Below are 17,540 nucleotides of genomic sequence, written 5' to 3'. Positions count from 1 at the left end.
ATTGCACGTGTGCTCAACCCCCTCATTAATATGTATAGCTTTCTCCCGACACCTGCTGAGTATGCAGGACTCTATTGTATGATGCGGACCCTGTGAGGCAGAAAACCCAACCTTCTCTTCCCCTCTTCCAAGAGAGGGCACCCACAGCGCACACCAGAAACTGTCTCTTCCCAATTTGCAAAATGGAATCGCAATACAGTTCTCCTTCCCACTCTTCAGTCCTCCTGGTGATCTTTTCAATGATGAAGAAAAAGAAGAAGAAAGAGATTAAGATTGAGGAGAGAAACGTAATTATCTTTTCTGCAAAGCAAAGCTTGTAGAGTTGGGGAACCGATGAACTGACTCCAGCTCCCGGTGACATTTTCAGGGACTGGCAAGAACAGTCAACAAAAAAGACAACACAAAATGCTCTCTACACACTAGAAATGGTGCCAGGAGTGGGATATACACTCTTAGGGCTTAGAAAATCATAGTATGATACTTTTTTAAAGATGATTATTTTATTTATGTATTTATTTATTGTTTTTTATTTTTATTTATTTTTATTTTTTGTAGAGACAGGGTCTCTGTGTCACCCAGGCTAGAGTACAATGGGCAATCATAGCTCACTACAGCCTCCAACTCCTGGGCTCAAGTGATCCTCCAACCTCAGCCTCCCAAGTAGCTAGCGCTACAGGCACGCGCCATCATGCTTGGCTATTTTTTTTTTTTTCAATTTTTGTAGAGACAGAGTCTCCCTAAGTTATCCAAGCTGGTCTTAAACTTCTGGCCTCAAGTGAATACAAATACCATAAACTGGGCAGCTTAAACAACAGAAACAAATTGTCTTGTAATTTTGGAGGCTAGAAGTTTGAGATGAAGGTGTCAGCAGGGTTGGTTCCCTCTGAGTCCTCTCTCCTTGTTGTGTAACTGGCCTTTTCCCCTCTGTGTCTCAAAAAAAAAAAAAAAAATAGGACCTCCTTCCTCTTCCCACTTCAGACAGCCTGTGGCACATAATAAACCTGGATTCTTACCCACCGGGACCCATCCTTTGGCACAAGTTTGTTTGTCTCATACCCAAAAGATCCTCACTGTTCCCCAAGAAGGGGGTCTCATTATCAAGGAACAGTAATTTTCACGATTAGAATGTCGGGAGGTGTGTTACAATAAACCAACTTTTGGTGATGATATTGTCTGAATCAGAAAAGATGAACTGAGGAGTGGAAAAGCAGTGTTTCTCCCACTGAGCTTTCTATTTTACAAATGTGACATTACCTCTGGCTTGCTTCCGCTGAAAAGACATTTCAGGAAGGAACATTTATTTCACTGCCACAAACAATACCGCACAAAAATGGTGCATAAATGTTCTCATGGGCACCCTTTTCCTTCCTCCATCCCCTGATACGGACCCATTCATTCTTTCTATAACTGACAGGAATTTCTCTCAAAGCTCCAAAAAGTGATGCCTGAAAATTAGATTATAATATGCATTTTCTATCATTCTATTTCAGGCATATCAAAATTTCTCATTCATACAAATGAGCTAGAATATTGTAGAATGCTTTGCTGAAAATACCAACAATTTACAATAAAGCCTTCACATTTAATCTGTACAATAATGATTTGACCATTAATGAAACTGAAAAAAGAAGCTGAAGAAAAAATGTAGGAAAAAAGGGGCTTATGTCAATAGACTACTTCTTTTTAGGAATATAAATCTGATAATTTTATTTTAAAATATTAACAGGTTGGTAAAACATTTTGTTTTATAAGCAACTAAATATTTTATTTTTAAAAGTTCTTCTATTTTACAATACAGAATGGAGATTTTATTTATTTTATTTATTTATTTATTTTTTTTTGGAGACAGAGTCAATTGAGTCTCCTGCCTCAGCCTCCTGAGTAGCTGGGACTACAGGCATGCATCATCATGCCTGGCTAATTTTTTTTATTTTTTAATAAAGTTGGAGTTCCGCCATGTTGGCCAGGCTGGTGAAAAAAATTCCTGATCTCAAGTGATACACCTGTCTCAGCCTTTCAAAGTGCTGGGATTACAGGTGTGAGCCACTGTACTTGGCCAGGAGATTTTATGTAAACATTGTGGTATGCAGAATAATGGCCCCCAAATATGTACATATTCTAATCTCCAGAATTTGTGAATATGCTATGAGAGGTGGAAGGAGGAATTAAGATTGCAGATGGCATTAAAGTTGCTAATCAGATTACCTTAAAATAAAATTATCCTGGATTATTGGGGTGGGCCCGAGGTAACTACAGGGGGTCCTTAAACAGAGAGGAGGAGAGCAAGGCAGAGGCACCAGAACCAGAGACTGGCATCAGGGAAATTGGGCCAGCCACTGCCAGCTTCAAAGATGGAGGGAGGGCCCCCAGCCAAGGAGTGTGAGCATGCTCCAAAGGCGGGAAAAGGCAAGAAGCAGATTCTCCAGCAGAGCTTCCGGAAGGGAATGCAACCCGGCCCACACCCTGATTTTAGCACAGTGAGATCAGTATCGAACATCTGACCTCCACAACAGCAAGTTAATAAATCTGAGGCCAGGCACAGTGGCTCACCCCTATAGTCCCAGTGCTTTAGGAGGCAGAGGCAGAAGGAGCACTTGTGATCAGGAGTTTCAGGCCAGCCTGAGCAACATAGCTATAGTCTGTCTCTACTTAATTAATTAGTTGATTTGTGTTGCTTTAAGCTACTGGGTTTGTAGCAACTTGTTACAGCCGCAATAAGGAACTCCTACACACAAATTAAACTGTTGGGAACTCATAATTTTTGGAAAGCCTCATCTGACCTTCTCCAAGAAGTCTTCTCCTGAACCACAATTTTGTGATAAGATCTTCACCCCTGCCCTCCCACAGCATACTGTGTGTTTATCTGTTACAGAATGTGGTAGACTGCACAGTGATTTTTCATTTATTTTTCTGTAATCTCTGCTAGACCAACAGTTCCATAAAGGTAGGGATAATGTCTTTAATTTCCACCTGAAGTTCTCGTCCCAAAACATTTATCCCTGGCCAGGCGCGGTGGCTCACACCTGTAATCCCAGCACTTTGGGAGGCCAAGGCAGGTGGATCACGAGGTCAGGAGTTCGAGACCAGCCTGGCCAACATGGTGAAACCCTGTCTCTACTAAAAATATAAAAATTAGCTGGGCGTGGTGGCACACACCTGTAATCCCAGCTACTCTGGAGGCTGAGGCAGGAGAATTGCTTGAACCCAGGAGGTGGAGGTTGCAGTGAGCCAAGATCAAGCCACTGCACTCTGGCCTGGGTGACAGAGCAAGGCTCTATCTTGAAAAAGAAAAAAAAAAAAAAAGACACACACACACACACACACACACACACACAGACACACATACACACACACACTTATCCAAAACTTAGCAGCAGCAAACTATATAGCCTATCCTGGGAGCTTAATATTTTTTCAAACAAAGAGTGACGATTACAAACCCACCTGCACTCTCACCCATGAAACCAATGATAAAAGTATTTTAAAGCATCACAACTATTACAAAATGGCTTGTCTCATAAAGAATGCAATCCATGACCACAAAACAGATAACAGGGCAAACACAGAGCCTTAACTACAATTGTTCTGTGTTGTAGCAGAGTGGGCTGGCGTGTCCTTCCCCAAGCTGTCAAGTCATTTACAGTGAAAACGGTGGCACCTTCGGTTACTGTTAAAAAGTCTAAACGTACTAAACAATTGGAATTTGCCCAATGGCTAGCCTTAGAAAATAAACAGTTGGAGAAAATACATTTTGTCTTTGGAAGTTCCCAACATTTGTTTTTCTCTCCCCATTTAATCATTTCCATTGGTGATGATGCTCTTTTCTGAGGTCCTCAGATACTTGCCAGCTCTTTCCTTACAATAATTTCCCTTAGAACATTATTCACTCTTAGTGTGAATTTAAGTAAGTGGGTCTTTGCATTTTAAGCATTTTGATCAATTTGGAACACAAGATATTGCCTCCTGTTAAAGTATTTTCAGTGTTAGCAAATACATGTTAAGGATGCCATGTGATTAACACATGTTTAGAGTAACACATGTTAAGGATAAAACACACATTAAGGATAGCATGTGATTAATCAGTGTTAAGGATGACAAACATATTAAGGCAGGCAGAGGTTTTTTTCTCTGCTTAAACTCCATTCCAAGCATTGCGCTGTGAGTTAGGGTCCAATCTAACAAGTTATTCCGAGGTCATTTTTGTTTTGTTTTGTTTTTTTGAGATGGAGTCTCCCTCTGTGGCTCAGGCTGGAGTGCGGTGGCGCGATCTCGGCTCACTGCAACCTCTGCCTCTCGGGCTCAAGCTATTCTCCTGCCTCAGCCTCCCGAGTAGCTGGGAATACAGGTGCCCACCACCGCGCCCTGCTAATTTTTGTATTTTTTTAGTAGAGACAGGGTTTCACCATGTTGGCCAGGATAGTTTCGACCCTCTTGACGTCAGGTGATCTGCCCTCCTCGGCCTCTCAAAGTGCTGGGATTCTAGGCGTGAGCCACCGTGCTTGGCCTATTCTGAGGTCATTTTAAACTTCATGACTTTTTCTATTACAGAAAGCAGAAATAAAGTTCACACCATGTATATTAAAAGCATGGGTAAGAGAAGTAAAACTTGCAAACCCTTAGAAGAAATAGAAGATAGTGTCACTATGGCCTTAAGGTAGGTGGGGGGAACTGAAGCAGCAGTTTCATTTCCTCCCATATGCGTTACGGCATTGATTGAACCTGTTCTCCAGTGACCTGCCTCAGTCATACCTTGCACCTCTCCATACAAGTGTCTCCCCTACATGGGAGCGTGTCTACTGCTGACTGTTCCTATTCTTTCTTTTGACCTCTTTGCCTCTCTTGGTGCCAATACCACACTGTCGTATGTAAGACAGTTTTGTAAGACTTTCTAAGTCTTTAAAAACAGGTACTTAGTAAGAAGGCTTGCCTTAATAGCAGGGAGAAGAAGTCCTCTACCCGGATCTTCTTCAAAGCTGACTTGCCCATTCCTGAATCTTTTCTCCTTCGTATGTATTTCAGGCTCACTTCATGCTTCTGCTCTTCTGGGCTCTTTACTGCAATCATATTGCATTTTTAGTAAGGACTGACCACTTTATCAAATTGAATTTCTCATTTATGAACATAGTATGTTTTGCCATTTATTTAGATTTTTGTAAAGGTCCTTCATTCAAGTGTTTTTGCTAAATTCACAATTAGATACTCCCATGGATTCTTCCCATTCAAAAGGGAGTTGATTTTTTTCCCACTCAGGTGAGAGCTGCAGCTTGCATGTAGAATGGAGTTGCTGCTACCTGTTTTGCTTACCAATTTATAGTATGTGTGTGATATATGAAAAATGATACATATGAGTATTTTAGTATATGCATAGCATTTAATTATATAAATATGTTAAATTTTATTTAAGAAAACTCTTCCTGATAGGCTTTTATGTTGTTCTATATTTGTTTGTAGTCAAAAAATGCTGCAGGGAACATTTATACTTTTATATCACTGCGCCCTTGTGAGAATGCAACTGTGGGAGAAATTTCATGAAGTGAAATGTCTGGTAAAAAAGTGCATGCATTTACAATTTATGTAGATAATGCTGAAGTGCTTTAAAAAAAAGGCAAGAAAAATATAGTGCTACCCAGTAGCACTATACTATACTACCCAGAGGATGAAAATACATAATTACCATCACTTCACAAACCTCACTAGCCTGTGTTTTATGAAACAGTCTTATCCAATAGATAAAATAATAAATATCCCATCATTACTGTGACTTTTCTTTAGTTATAAGTAACCCTGGGTTTTTTCCTTACATGTGTATACACATTTGTAAAGTTTTAAAAAATTATTAAGGGTCTGAGCCAAGAGAAAGTTAACACTTTAGGCTTTCTATAACAACTTAAAACACCCAAAGTTAAACTAAATTTAAGGAAAGAGCTGATCTCCCTCAAAGGTGGAAATCAGGGAACATACCTAGAAGCAAAAGTTAAATCACAATCAGCCTAACTAATTTGAATTTCTCAATGGGTGATTTTAAACAGAAAACACGTTGAAAGCTGAAGTCAATGCTGTGGCTGCTGTCACAAGTAAGACCTGAGATGATAAAATTATGGAATTTTAGGGTGGAAAGTAAACTTGAAGAAAATCTGGCCTCATCTTTTTTGACAGGTGAGTCTGTCTTTGTAAGTTCAACAGAAATATGAAATGTTTTATTCAAACTCATAAGCAGCAAAGTTCAGTGGCTAGCAAATAGGTAACACTATAATCATTTGTGGAGTGAACAAGAATGAAGGAATGAATGAATGAATGAACGGTACTAGGATTGGCACCTGGGTTTCCAGAAAGTAGGAGGCTCTTTCTCCTTACGCTTTGCCATTAATAGTCAGTGTGCTGACATTCCATACATTTCTATAATCCTACATTTAGAGGCACTGAGCTAATCCCTTGTTTTTAATTTCCGACAATCATCACTTTTAATTTATGATGAATTCAGAAATAAAGGGTTTCCAAAAGCATGTATTATGTTCATGACATGTAACCTTGGAAAACACCATATTTGGTTAAATCACTGCATATTTTTCTTTCAGAGGTAAAAGTGCTTTGACATCTCTGTATTTGTTTGCTAAAGCCAGGGTAACAAAGTACTGCAAACTGGGTAGATTAGAAAAAAAGAAATTTGTTATGTCGCCGTTGTGGAAGTTAGAAGTCCAGGATCCAGATATCGCAGGATTGCTTTCTTCTGAGCTTGAAGGCTGAGTCTGTTCCATGCTGCATCCTGAAGTTATGGTTATTGGCTGGTGACCCTTAGCATTCCTTGGCTTGTAAAGGTTTCACCCCCAATATTTGCCTTTATCTTCACCTGGCATTTTCCGTGTGTGTGCATGTCTGTCTCTGCATCCAAATTTTCCCTTTTTATAAGGACATGAACCATCCTGGAGTTAGGCCCACCCAATGATGTCATTTTAGCTTAATTATTTCTGTAAAGACCATCTCCAAACAAAGTCACACTCTGAGATACTGGGGGTTAGGACCCCAACATATCTTTTTGAGTAGACACAATTAAACCTTTAATACTTAATATTCACTTGATTGCCCTTCTAAGTTCCAGTCACAATCTATTCTGATTTTTTTTTAAATTGCTTTCTAATTTCGCTAAAACAATGAATTTCACTATAACATAGGATATGTTTTTGTAACATAGCAAATTGCATAGACAAGTTCGGATTTTTAATTTCTGTGTTGGAGTCATTTGTGTTAATATAAACTGAGACTACCTGTAGGTGTTAACATTAGGTTGAATGCTATTCGAAATAATTATTTGTAAATGTTTGGGCATTTGTTTATCTAGGTTATCCATCAGTGACATTTGAATGCTATGGGAACACACTCTGAAGCCTTAATTATTAGACTTACACAGCATCTATTTTCAAAGAAATAAAAACACTATAACCTTCCAGTGTTTCATTTTCCTGGCCACTCACAATAGGGTTAATGATACCCAACTGTCTCCCCCAAGATCAGAGATGTTATGATGACCTATTAATATGTATGACCCATGAAAGGAAAATAATATCTCGGGAACCCAAATCAGTAAGCTAAAGGGAAAAATCAAGCTGGGAACTGTGAAACCTGCCTCCCATTTTATTTCTAAGTAAGACAGCTATAAGGATTTTAAAAAGCCACATACTTTTCTCACAATTTGTCCACAAGGAAATTCCTTGTGGACCAAGGACAGGCAGAACTCAAAGTCATCCTCCTGAGGCTCACGGGTGAGACAAACGCATATCTGATCACTTCCTCTGCCCCATTGTTTCACTGAGTCAGACTAAGGCATCAGTGACTGCTTCTCTACCCTCCTCTCAAATATAAGTTGTGTGTTCAGTGAAAGTCTAATCAGAGACTCAAAATAATGCAACCATTTCCTTCTTATCTACCTACAACCTGGAAGCCCCCACTTGGAGTTGCCCTGCCATTTCGGACCCAACCAATCTACATTTTACATATATTGGTGGATGTCTCATATCTCCCTAAAATGTATAAAAGCAAGTTGTGGCCAGGCGCGGTGGCTCACGCCTGTAATCCCAATACTTTGGGAGGCGGAGGCGGGCAAATCACGAGGTCAGGAGTTCGAGACCAGCCTGACCAATATGGTGAAACCCCGTCTCTACTAAAAATACAAAAAAAAAAAAAATTAGCTGGGCATAGTGGTGGGTGCCTGTAATCCCAGCTACTCGGGAAGCTGAAGCAGGAGACTCGCTTGAGCCCGGGAGGCTGAGGTTGCACTGAGCCAAGATTGCGCCACTGCAATCCAGCCAGGGCGACAGAGTGAGACACGGTATTAAAAAAAAAAAAAAAAAAAAGTTGTGCCACGACCATGTTGGCCACATGTCATCTGGACCTCCTGGGGCTGTGTCATGGGCATGCCCTTAACCTTGGCAAAATTAACTTTCTAAATTGATTGAGACCTAGATCGGATATTTTGTGTGCACACACCCAAATTCTCCCTAGAAGACGGGTGATGCGCAGAGCGTGTTTGTGTCTGTCGCTCCTATTATTGCCTGTGTTCTGGTTCCTTTGGGCTCTTCAATAAGGAGGTACGTGTTTACCTGCAGCCCAGAACTGGCTGCCCTATGGAGAGTTTAGGGTAGACACGTTGGGACTTTTTCCCACAGTATTACCTTCCACATTGCTTCCAAAGTTTTAGCTTGTTCAAGCCGACTGCAGCCATCTACTTACCATTTAATTTTTAATTTTTTTTTTCAGAGCCCATTAGGAGACAGAGGGAGATTTGAGCCTGTTTGTATTCGTGATACAAGGGGAAAAAAAGAGGGAGAAGGTGAAGGGAGGAAGGAAGAGAGGCTCTGAGAAACCCGGAAGGTCAGACTTGGTGCGGACTTCCTCCAAGGGCTACCCCACCCTCTCCAAGCGTGGCTAATCCCAGGGCCCCTTCTGGCCCACAGTGCAGAACCACCCACTCCTACGGGGGCCTCCTTCAGCCTCTCTGGGGGTTCCCAGAAGGGCCCTTGGGCACTTGGGCAATGTCAGGGGGCTCAGGTGCATCTTCCTAGACACGAAACGAAGAGGAAAGCGGAGGCAGCAGCGGGGGCCACAGGCTCCCATGCAGCAGCTCGGAGCTGTGCTGTGCTTCGCTGGCGGCCATCCGTGATACGTGTGACACCGTGGGGCCCTGGCCCTGGGACCTGCCATGCAGCCTTGAGATCTCATCCAAGAAGCCCCCAGACCCCAAGGTTCAGGCCTGGCGGGGCAGCAGAACGCCTTTGGAGCTCAGCTCAGCCCTACAAACAGGACCAACGCCCACACCAAGGCCAGAGAGGGCTACCAAGTTTCACCTGGCCCAGCTTCCGGCAGCCCCCAACCAGGCCACTACCCTCACCTGAACACCGCGGTCCATCACCAAGCCCCACCCACTTCTGCCAGCCCTGCCCCCACAAGGACCCACCTCTCGCATGCAAGCCCCGCCCCCAAGGCCCAGCTCACCTGCAGCCCCGCCCCACCAGGCTCCACCCCATCGCCTGCAAGCCCCATCCCCAAGGCCCAGCTCACTTGCATCCCCGCCCACTAGGCTCCACCCTGTCACCTGCAAGCCCCGCCCCCAAGGCTCAGCTCACTTGCAATCCCCTCTCCCACTGGTCTCCACTCCTCACCTGCAAAGAGCCACCCCTCGCTAAGCCCCTCCCATCACTTGCACAGCCCCACCCAACACAGCACGCCATTCCAGGAGCCCCTCTTTTCACCAGCGCAGCCCCGCCCTTCACCAGGCCCCACTTCATCTGCATACACACGCCTCTCGCCACGCCCCACTTCTCGCCTGCCCACTTCCCCCTCCTATCATCTGTCCACATCCTGCTGCTGGCCGAACCCCGCCCCTTTCGGCAAGACGGCCCCGCCCCTTTCTACCCGTACCACGCCCCTCGCCTTGCCCGCCTCCTTCGGCACGTCGGCCCCGCCCCTCCCGCCCATCTCCGTCCGCACCGCCCTCCCGCCCGTCCCAGAGCAGTGGAGGCCTACCCTTTTCACCTACAGCCTATCGCAGAGGACGTCGCTGTTCGCGTTGACCAATAGGAGTGGTAGCTGTCACGGCAAGCCCCGCCCCGCGCCCTGCGTCGGGTTAAGAGGGGGTTCCTCGCCAGCCAGGTGCTCGTCATGCGCAATGTGGCGCTGCGGCGGGCGGCAGGGCCTGTGTGTGCTGAGGCGGCTGAGCGGCGGGTGAGACGCTGCGACGGGAGGCGCTCGGCGCGCTGGTACCCGGGAGGGGAGGGTCCAGGGCAGGCCGGAGGCGTAGGGGTCCTCGTCCCTGCGCCCGGGGCTGGCAGCTCCCCAAGCTGTGGGCGTCCCGCACCCCGAGCCCTTCCTGGAGCTCCCGCATCCGAGGCTCCGAGGCCGGAGGACCTCGGAGCTCCTTCCTACTCCCAGGGGCGATGCCCCGGGCTGGGGGCCGGGCCTGCCCGCGGCGCTCCCGGCGGGGCCCTCCATTAGCGTGGGCTTTAACGGGGGTAGTAAATGGGGTCGGCATTTGCGGTTCTCGCTGACAGCTTTGCTCCTAGTTCATTTTTGTTGGGAGGCCGAGTCCTTAAGAGACCCGAGGCGCCCACAGCCCATACTTAAAGTCTCGCTGTGTTCAGAGAACTGACGCCTCCCGGAATTGAACTGTTTTGTTTTTTTAATGACTCAATTTATGGGGAAAAAAATGACGAAGCAGTTTAGTGTTCATGGTAATCCACGAGCCCGTGTTTAATATAAGGTAATAGTTCAGCGCTGCCGGCCCAGGCCGGGAGGCACGGGGCGTCCGTGGCATGAGTTCGGCCTGGCCTTACCGCTCAGGAGTTTCCTATCATGTCCTTGATAAGTAACTTCTTAAAACGCTTCTGTCCCATAATTCTGAAATTTGCTAAATCAGTAAGCAAATGTTGGTTATAGCATATCTTCATAATATTGCCAGTGACTGAATAGGTTTTTTCTTCCTGTACATATTATCTTTAAAATAAATATTTCGGTGGGATACATTAATGTAGAAAATCCCATACGACATATAATACAATTGGAGAGAATAATAATTACGTGTTTTTTAAGAGCAGGGATCTTGCTCTGTTTCCCAGGCTGGTTTGATCCCCCTCCTCAGCCTCTCGCATTGCGGGGTTACAGGTGTGAGCCATCTCATTCAGGTGAGAATAATTATTAGAAATAGGTTGGGCGCGGTGGCTCACACCTGTAATCCCAGCATGTTGGGAGGCCAAGGCGGGCAGACCACTTGAGGTCAGGAGTTCAAGACCAGCCTGGCCGACATGGTGAAACTGTCTCTACTAAAAATACAAAAATTAGCTGGGCGTAGTAGTGAGCACTTGTAGTCCCAGCCACTCAGGAGGCTGAGACAGAATTGCTTGAACCCGGGAGGTGGAGGTTGCAGTGAGTCGAGATTGCACCGCTGCACTCCAGCCTGGGCAACAGAGTGAGATCTGTCTCAAAAAAGAAAATTAGTGTCCCTGTGACCAAGTTGAAGATTCCCCTAACTGCTCGTAACTCTCTCCCTCCCTCTTAGATTATCACGGTCATAACATACAGAAATGTCCTTGCTTTTTTTTTTTTTAATATTTTACCATTTTTATGCGTTCTGACAATGTCTTGTTACCTATTTGAATAATACCTGTTTAGGATAATACTGTATCATGTGTATCTTTTGTTTCACGTTATGTGACCCATATCTTTGTTACATGCCACTGTAGGCCCTTATATTGGTAAGGTTTTTTTTTTTTTTTTTTTTTTTTTTTTTTTTTTTTTAATTGAACGATTAGTCCGCACTTTATCCATTCTCTGTCGATACACCTCCGGGTGAGTTGAGTTTGGGACTGTCAGGGTTCGTGCTGACATTTTTGTCTGTGAGTGCTGGGGCCGCAGTGTAAGGTGTGGACGATAGAGACCAAGAGGTGAATGGATTTCCAATCTTCAGCATTTTTTTCTTTTTTTTCCGACAGTCTTGCTCTGTCACCCAGGCTGGAGTGCAGTGGCGTGATCTCGGCCCACTGCAGCCTCCACTTCCCGGGTTCAAGCGATTCTCCTGCCTCAGCCTCCCAAGTATCTGGGACTACAGGCACCTGCCACCACATCAGGCTAATTTTTGGCCAGGCTGGTCTCGAACTCCTGACCTCAGGTGATCCGCCCACCCAGGCCTCCCAAAGTGCTGGGATTACAGACGTAAGCCACCACGCCCGGCCTCTTCAGCCTTTCTAAAGAATGCCAAGTGCTTTTCCAAAGTTATTCCACTTTGTACTCCCTGTAGCAGTGTATGAGAGTTCCCGGTAATATTAGGCTTTTTAAGTTTTCAGCAATTCGGTAGGCATGTAATGGGATTTAACTGTAGTGTGAATTTCTTGGTATACTGTGAAGGCTTTTGAGGATTCTGTGAAGGAAAGAAGCCCTTTTGTTTAAGAGTTGTCTCTTAAACAAGGGGAATTTAAACTGTAATTGTATTATAGTTATTTGTGAACAAGTGTAAAGAAAAGGTTTCCAACATTGAAGCTTTAGTTAAGATAAAGATCATTAAAATGGAAAGGACCTTACCAGAAATCAGTTTTCTGGAATGTGCAAGACTTTGGAAGATGCAATATTTAATTTTTCTTTAATAATCTTTATTACATGAGAGTATTTTCACTATGTGGCTGAATAATGTTAGCCAGATACTTTTCCTGCAACTCATCTAACTTAGATGACTTTTAATCTAGACATGCACACCACAGAGCGTGGCGATGGAACAGTAACCGGGCTTGTGAGAGGGCTCTGCAGTATAAACTAGGAGACAAGATCCATGGATTCACCGTAAACCAGGTATGGGTCGTCCTCGGCACCTCCTTATAAATCCACATACATTGCAGGTGCGGCTTCTGGCCTATGTACGGAGCCCTTCAGGGCGGAGACTAGCGTTTTTGTCCTTGTGTCCCAAGGCCCTGGCCCAGCTCCTGCTGTGTGGCAGCTACTCGGCTGAACAGAGCTTGTGAGTGAAATGAGCCCCAGTCCCTTCCTGGAATCCCGCAAAGCCTGGTTCTTGTGAGATTTTAGAGAGTAACACTTCCAGCTGGGTCTCTGTAATCAGACACACTAGCGTTTCTGCAGCCAAACCTGATGTTTCACTGAGCATGAGCATGAAGACTCACTGCCCTGATCTGTTTAGTCAGGTTTTGCCATCAAATAGCTTGCTCTAAACGTCCGCAGAACCTTTCAGTTTTCTGAGCCATTCGGGTTTCAGAATGATAAAGAAGCAATTGTGGACCTGTACTTACTTGGGTCTGTATTAAAATAGATTCATTTGGTTTTTGTTTTGTTATTTTGCCTAAACCTTTTGCATTGTTTCTATTTAGCATGGTAACTGAAAATGACACGCTTCATGTATTTGGCCAGCTGTTGGCTTTGTGCTATGCTTGATGTTATAGCAAACGTGAAAGACAAACAGCTTACTGTCTAGAAAGACTGCTGCGGCTGTGACCGGAGGCACATGGTGGACGCCACGCGGAGGGCCAAGGACAAGGGCAGGAGGAGGAGTGGGAGCTGCTGCTGCTGGGGGCAGAGGGAAGAGCTCCTGGAGAGGGTGGTGTGAGAACGTGGCTGCCTTCGGTCAGGGCTCCAGCAAGGGAGCCAGGGCAGTGACTAGGGTGCGCCAGACAAGGTCCAGGCATGGGACTCATGAAAAGACTTGGAGCGTTTGTGAAATCCTGCAAAGGCCAGGCAAAGACACTTGGGTTTATGGTACAGGTTACTGTTAATAAGGGCCTCACCCACAGCGGTAGATTCTCCTCCTTTATTTCTCAAATTTTATAGAAACGTATTTACTTTTGAGACTGGGACTCACCCTGTCGCCCAGGCTGGAGTGTGGTGGTATGATCTTGGCTCACTGCAGCCTCGAACTCCTGGGCTCAAGCGATCCTCTTGCCAAGTAGCTGGGACAAGGTGCCACCACGCCTGGCTAATTGTGTGTGTGTGTGTGTGTGTGTGTGTGTGTGTGTGTGTGTGTGTGTGTGTAGATGGAAACTTTGTTGCCTAGACTGGTCTCAAACTCCTGGGTTCAAGCAATCCTTTTGCTTGTGTATTAGTCTAGTCTCACACTGCTATGAAGAAATACCCAAGACTGGGTAATTTATAAAGTATGAGCTAAAAAGTGAAGAGGTTTAATTGACTCACAGTTCTGCATGGCTGGGGAGGCCTCAGGAAACACAATCGTGGTGGAAGGCATCTCTTCACAGGGCGGCAGGGGAGAGAATGAGGATCAAGTGAAGGGGGAAGCCCCTTATAAAACCGTCAGCTCTCATGAGAACGTGCTCACTGTCACGAGAATAACATGGAGGAAACCGCCCTCTTGATTCAATTACCTCCCACCAGGTCCCTCCCACAACATGTGGGGATTATGGAAACTACAATTCAAGATGAGATTTGGGTGGGGACACAGCCAAACCATATCACCTTGGCCTTCCAAAGTGCTGGGATTATAGGTGTGAGCCACTGTGTCCAGCCATAGAAACTTACGATAAGTCATGATTCTTGTTTGAGAAATAGCTACCATGAAAGCTATTATTATTAAAGCTATATATTATTAGAAAGCAAACATCTCACTGTATCTGCTGACTTCAAAAGCATTGATCATCTGTTACAAAGTACAGTGAGCTTGGAAACAGAAGTAATTTCGCGGCGGTAGATGATGCAGGTCATAGTGGTCTGCTTTATGCATGACTGTTGCGTGGCAGGCTCCCTAGATTGGGCTGAGGAGACCCGAGGTCTGACCTTGGCCAGCGACTTACTGTGTGCGCTTGGCCAGGTGACTCATGGCACCTGGCAGGAGGGGGTGGTGAGTGGTGTGGTGATCACAGGGACGTGGTGTGTGATTGAGGGAGAGGGCCGGCTGGCATGACTGGAAGAGAAGACAGTTTCTTTCATACCGAGGAGTATGGTCACTTACCAGGAGGCTTACCTAAAGTAGGAGATGACCTTCCACGCCGCCCCAGGAGTGGGGAGTCTTTCGTCTGTCTTGTGGGCATTTCTATCCTCCCGGCCCCTCCAGCTGTTCTGGAAGCCACAGCTTTGTGCTTCTAGCTACCACCGAGAACCCATCCTAAACTAAGAGAAGCAAAGGCTGATCCTAGAGCCTCTCCCTGCTGTCGCAGGCTAGCCCACTCTAGCATTTCCCCTCCTTGCAGGCCCGTTCTGCGCACTACAGGAGATGATATGCACAGAAACAGACACACAGCCAACGTTGGAAGGGGTGCTGTGTTACTGAGGCGCAGCACACAAAAGCAGGAGACACTCAGCAGACATTGGAAGGGGCGCTGTGTTACTGAGGCACAGCACACAAAAGCAGGAGACACTCAGCAGACATTGGAAAGGGCGCTCTGTTACTTAGGTGCAGCATGGTACCATGGGAAGGGCAGACACCAGGGTGAATCCTGGCTCTGTGATTTAGGCAGCTTATTTCATCACCCTGAGCCTCGGTTTTTTCGTCTGTAAATGAGTATGAGAATACCTCCCTCACAGGATTATATGTGACATGATTAGAAAATGCCTAGCCAAAAAAAGAATAAAAAATTTAAAAAATAAAAAAATCTAAAATACCTAGCCAGTAGTAAGCGCGTGCGCTCTCGCGCTCGCTCGCTCGCTCGCTCTCTCTCTCTTTCTATACACACACACACATATTCTCATCTGCCTTTTTTAGGTCTGTCTTTCCTTGTTTGTAGGATAAGGGACCTGGACAAGATGGTTCTCTTCTCTCCAGCTCTGAAATACTGCCTTCCCGGCATCATCTAATTTCAGGCAGAAAAGCCAGTTTTCTCAGTGTGTCGAACATAACCATTTCAAAGGCCATTTTGTCTAAGTTTAACTGGTCGTGTTTTTCTTGTTAACTCAGGTGACATCTGTTCCCGAGCTGTTCCTGACTGCAGTGAAGCTCACCCATGATGACACAGGAGCCAGGTATTTACACCTGGCCAGAGAAGACACGAATAATCTGTTCAGGTGTGTGGTGCATTGTAAGAACATGGTCTTGAATGTTTTTATTTAAATCAGGAATGTCCATTCTTTTGGCTTCCCTGTGCCACAATGGAAGAAGAACAACTGTCTTAGGCCACGCATAAAATACACTAACACTAAGGACAGCTGATGAGCTAAAAATAATAAATAAAGGACCCCTCAATGTTTTAAGAAAGTGTATGAATTTGTGTTGGGCTGCATTTCAAGCCATCCTGAGCATGCGGGCTGCAGGCTGCGGGTTGGACAAGCTTGATTTAAAACATGGCTATACATTACGTGGTTTAAAATATCATCTCACTAGTATTTTTATTGACAGAGCATCTTGAAAAATAAGGAAAAGTTTACACTGACTTATAATCTCATCAAAATACAATTTTACAGTCTGAGTCAATGATTTACATTATAGTTGGAAAACCCTGTGCTGGAGGATTGTGGTGTCAGAATGATGATTTCTAGTAGCCTGAGGTGATGATGCATCTGGGAACTGTGTCCGCAGCACTAAGCTGAACCTTTTGCGTTCTGGTCATTCTCCTTCCCTAGCGTGCAGTTCCGTACTACTCCCATGGACAGTACTGGTGTTCCTCACATTCTTGAGCATACCGTCCTTTGTGGGTCTCAGAAATATCCGTGCAGAGACCCTTTCTTCAAAATGTTGAACCGGTCCCTCTCCACGTTCATGAACGCCTTCACAGGTAAGACCAGCATCCTGAACAGAAACTGCTTTTGGGTTTGCCAGGCACACCCACTGGAATTCAGTTAGTTTCTGAGAAGGAATGAGGGGAGTGGGCAATTCATGTTCTAGAAAAATTTTTACCTCTCTCTAGTTGAAGGACATTAGAAATTTAATCCTTCAGGAAAGCCACATGGTAGCGAGATTGTAAAAACTAGCGTTTTAAGAAAACATATGTGAACTTTTCCCAGAAAAGTTCAAAACAATTTTCTCTTGGAGATATCGCTACAATGCCAGAGTTACTACTAATGTTGATGTTTGACTTTTAGTAAGACTGACGATAGTGGATAGGGTGACGATGAACAGTGCATTCTGTGGGGGAGTGACATTGAAGAGCGGGTTAAATCCATGCTGTTACAGAATGAGGTCATCTTTGTAGATGTATGAAAGTCTCTGGAGAAACTTGAGAGAGTTTAGATATTCGCTGAAGAAAGCCCTGGTGCCCGTCGAGTGCAGATCCTGAGACGGGATGGGAAAGCCGGCACTTGGGGTTATGAGCTGGGACAGCTGCTGAGGCCAGGGACCAGAGCATGGGGCCACTGCCCCATCCCAAGAATAGCTACAGCTTACTGTCCTAGGACAAAGGGGGAATGAGTCTTGAGAGTCAATAATTTTAGTAGAAATCTGTTATATTTTACAATTTCACTTTTCATTTGTACCCAGCTAGTGATTATACTCTGTATCCATTTTCCACACAAAATCCCAAGGACTTTCAGAATCTCCTCTCGGTGTATTTGGATGCCACCTTTTTCCCATGTTTACGCGAGCTGGATTTCTGGTATGTCATGAATGATTAACT

General features: G+C 45.0%; 1 protein-coding gene across 15 annotated transcripts in view, besides 4 other annotated features; it reads left to right on the top strand.

Moving 5' to 3' along the window:
- Positions 8,600–9,137: an enhancer, noted in NCBI's record as "H3K27ac-H3K4me1 hESC enhancer chr10:3215987-3216524 (GRCh37/hg19 assembly coordinates)". NCBI's record gives its function as "activates a minimal SCP1, AML or CMV promoter by ChIP-STARR-seq in primed H9 embryonic stem cells {active_cell/tissue: H9 hESC(primed)}" and the evidence as "EXISTENCE:reporter gene assay evidence [ECO:0000049][PMID:30033119]".
- Positions 9,336–9,495: a silencer, noted in NCBI's record as "silent region_2074". NCBI's record gives its function as "represses an Ori minimal core promoter by ATAC-STARR-seq in GM12878 lymphoblastoid cells {active_cell/tissue: GM12878}" and the evidence as "EXISTENCE:reporter gene assay evidence [ECO:0000049][PMID:35858748]".
- Positions 9,786–10,625: a silencer, noted in NCBI's record as "silent region_2073". NCBI's record gives its function as "represses an Ori minimal core promoter by ATAC-STARR-seq in GM12878 lymphoblastoid cells {active_cell/tissue: GM12878}" and the evidence as "EXISTENCE:reporter gene assay evidence [ECO:0000049][PMID:35858748]".
- Positions 10,091–17,540, top strand: part of PITRM1 (pitrilysin metallopeptidase 1) — a 35,115-nt gene continuing 27,665 nt past the window's right edge. For 10 of the 15 annotated variants that reach the window (NR_144638.2, NR_144640.2, NR_144641.2 and 7 more), the window contains exons 1-5: positions 10,150–10,215; positions 12,726–12,828; positions 15,890–15,996; positions 16,552–16,703; positions 17,405–17,519. Coding sequence is in view for 8 of the 15 variants with exons in the window: in NM_001347725.2 (NP_001334654.1) it covers positions 10,160–10,215; positions 12,726–12,828; positions 15,890–15,996; positions 16,552–16,703; positions 17,405–17,519 (533 nt within the window). In the remaining 7 variants the exon portion in view is untranslated. Of the gene's footprint in view, positions 10,751–12,725; positions 12,829–15,889; positions 15,997–16,551; positions 16,704–17,404; positions 17,520–17,540 lie in introns of all 15 variants that reach the window. The other 5 variants (NM_001347726.2, NM_001347727.2, NM_001347730.1 and 2 more) reach the window with 3 other exon arrangements.
- Positions 13,485–13,534: an enhancer, noted in NCBI's record as "active region_2908". NCBI's record gives its function as "activates an Ori minimal core promoter by ATAC-STARR-seq in GM12878 lymphoblastoid cells {active_cell/tissue: GM12878}" and the evidence as "EXISTENCE:reporter gene assay evidence [ECO:0000049][PMID:35858748]".

This window comes from Homo sapiens, chromosome 10, assembly GCF_000001405.40.
Source record: "Homo sapiens chromosome 10, GRCh38.p14 Primary Assembly".
Taxonomy (NCBI): domain Eukaryota; kingdom Metazoa; phylum Chordata; class Mammalia; order Primates; family Hominidae; genus Homo; species Homo sapiens.
Note: the sequence above shows the minus strand (reverse complement) of the source record. Positions and strands in the feature narration are given on the sequence as shown.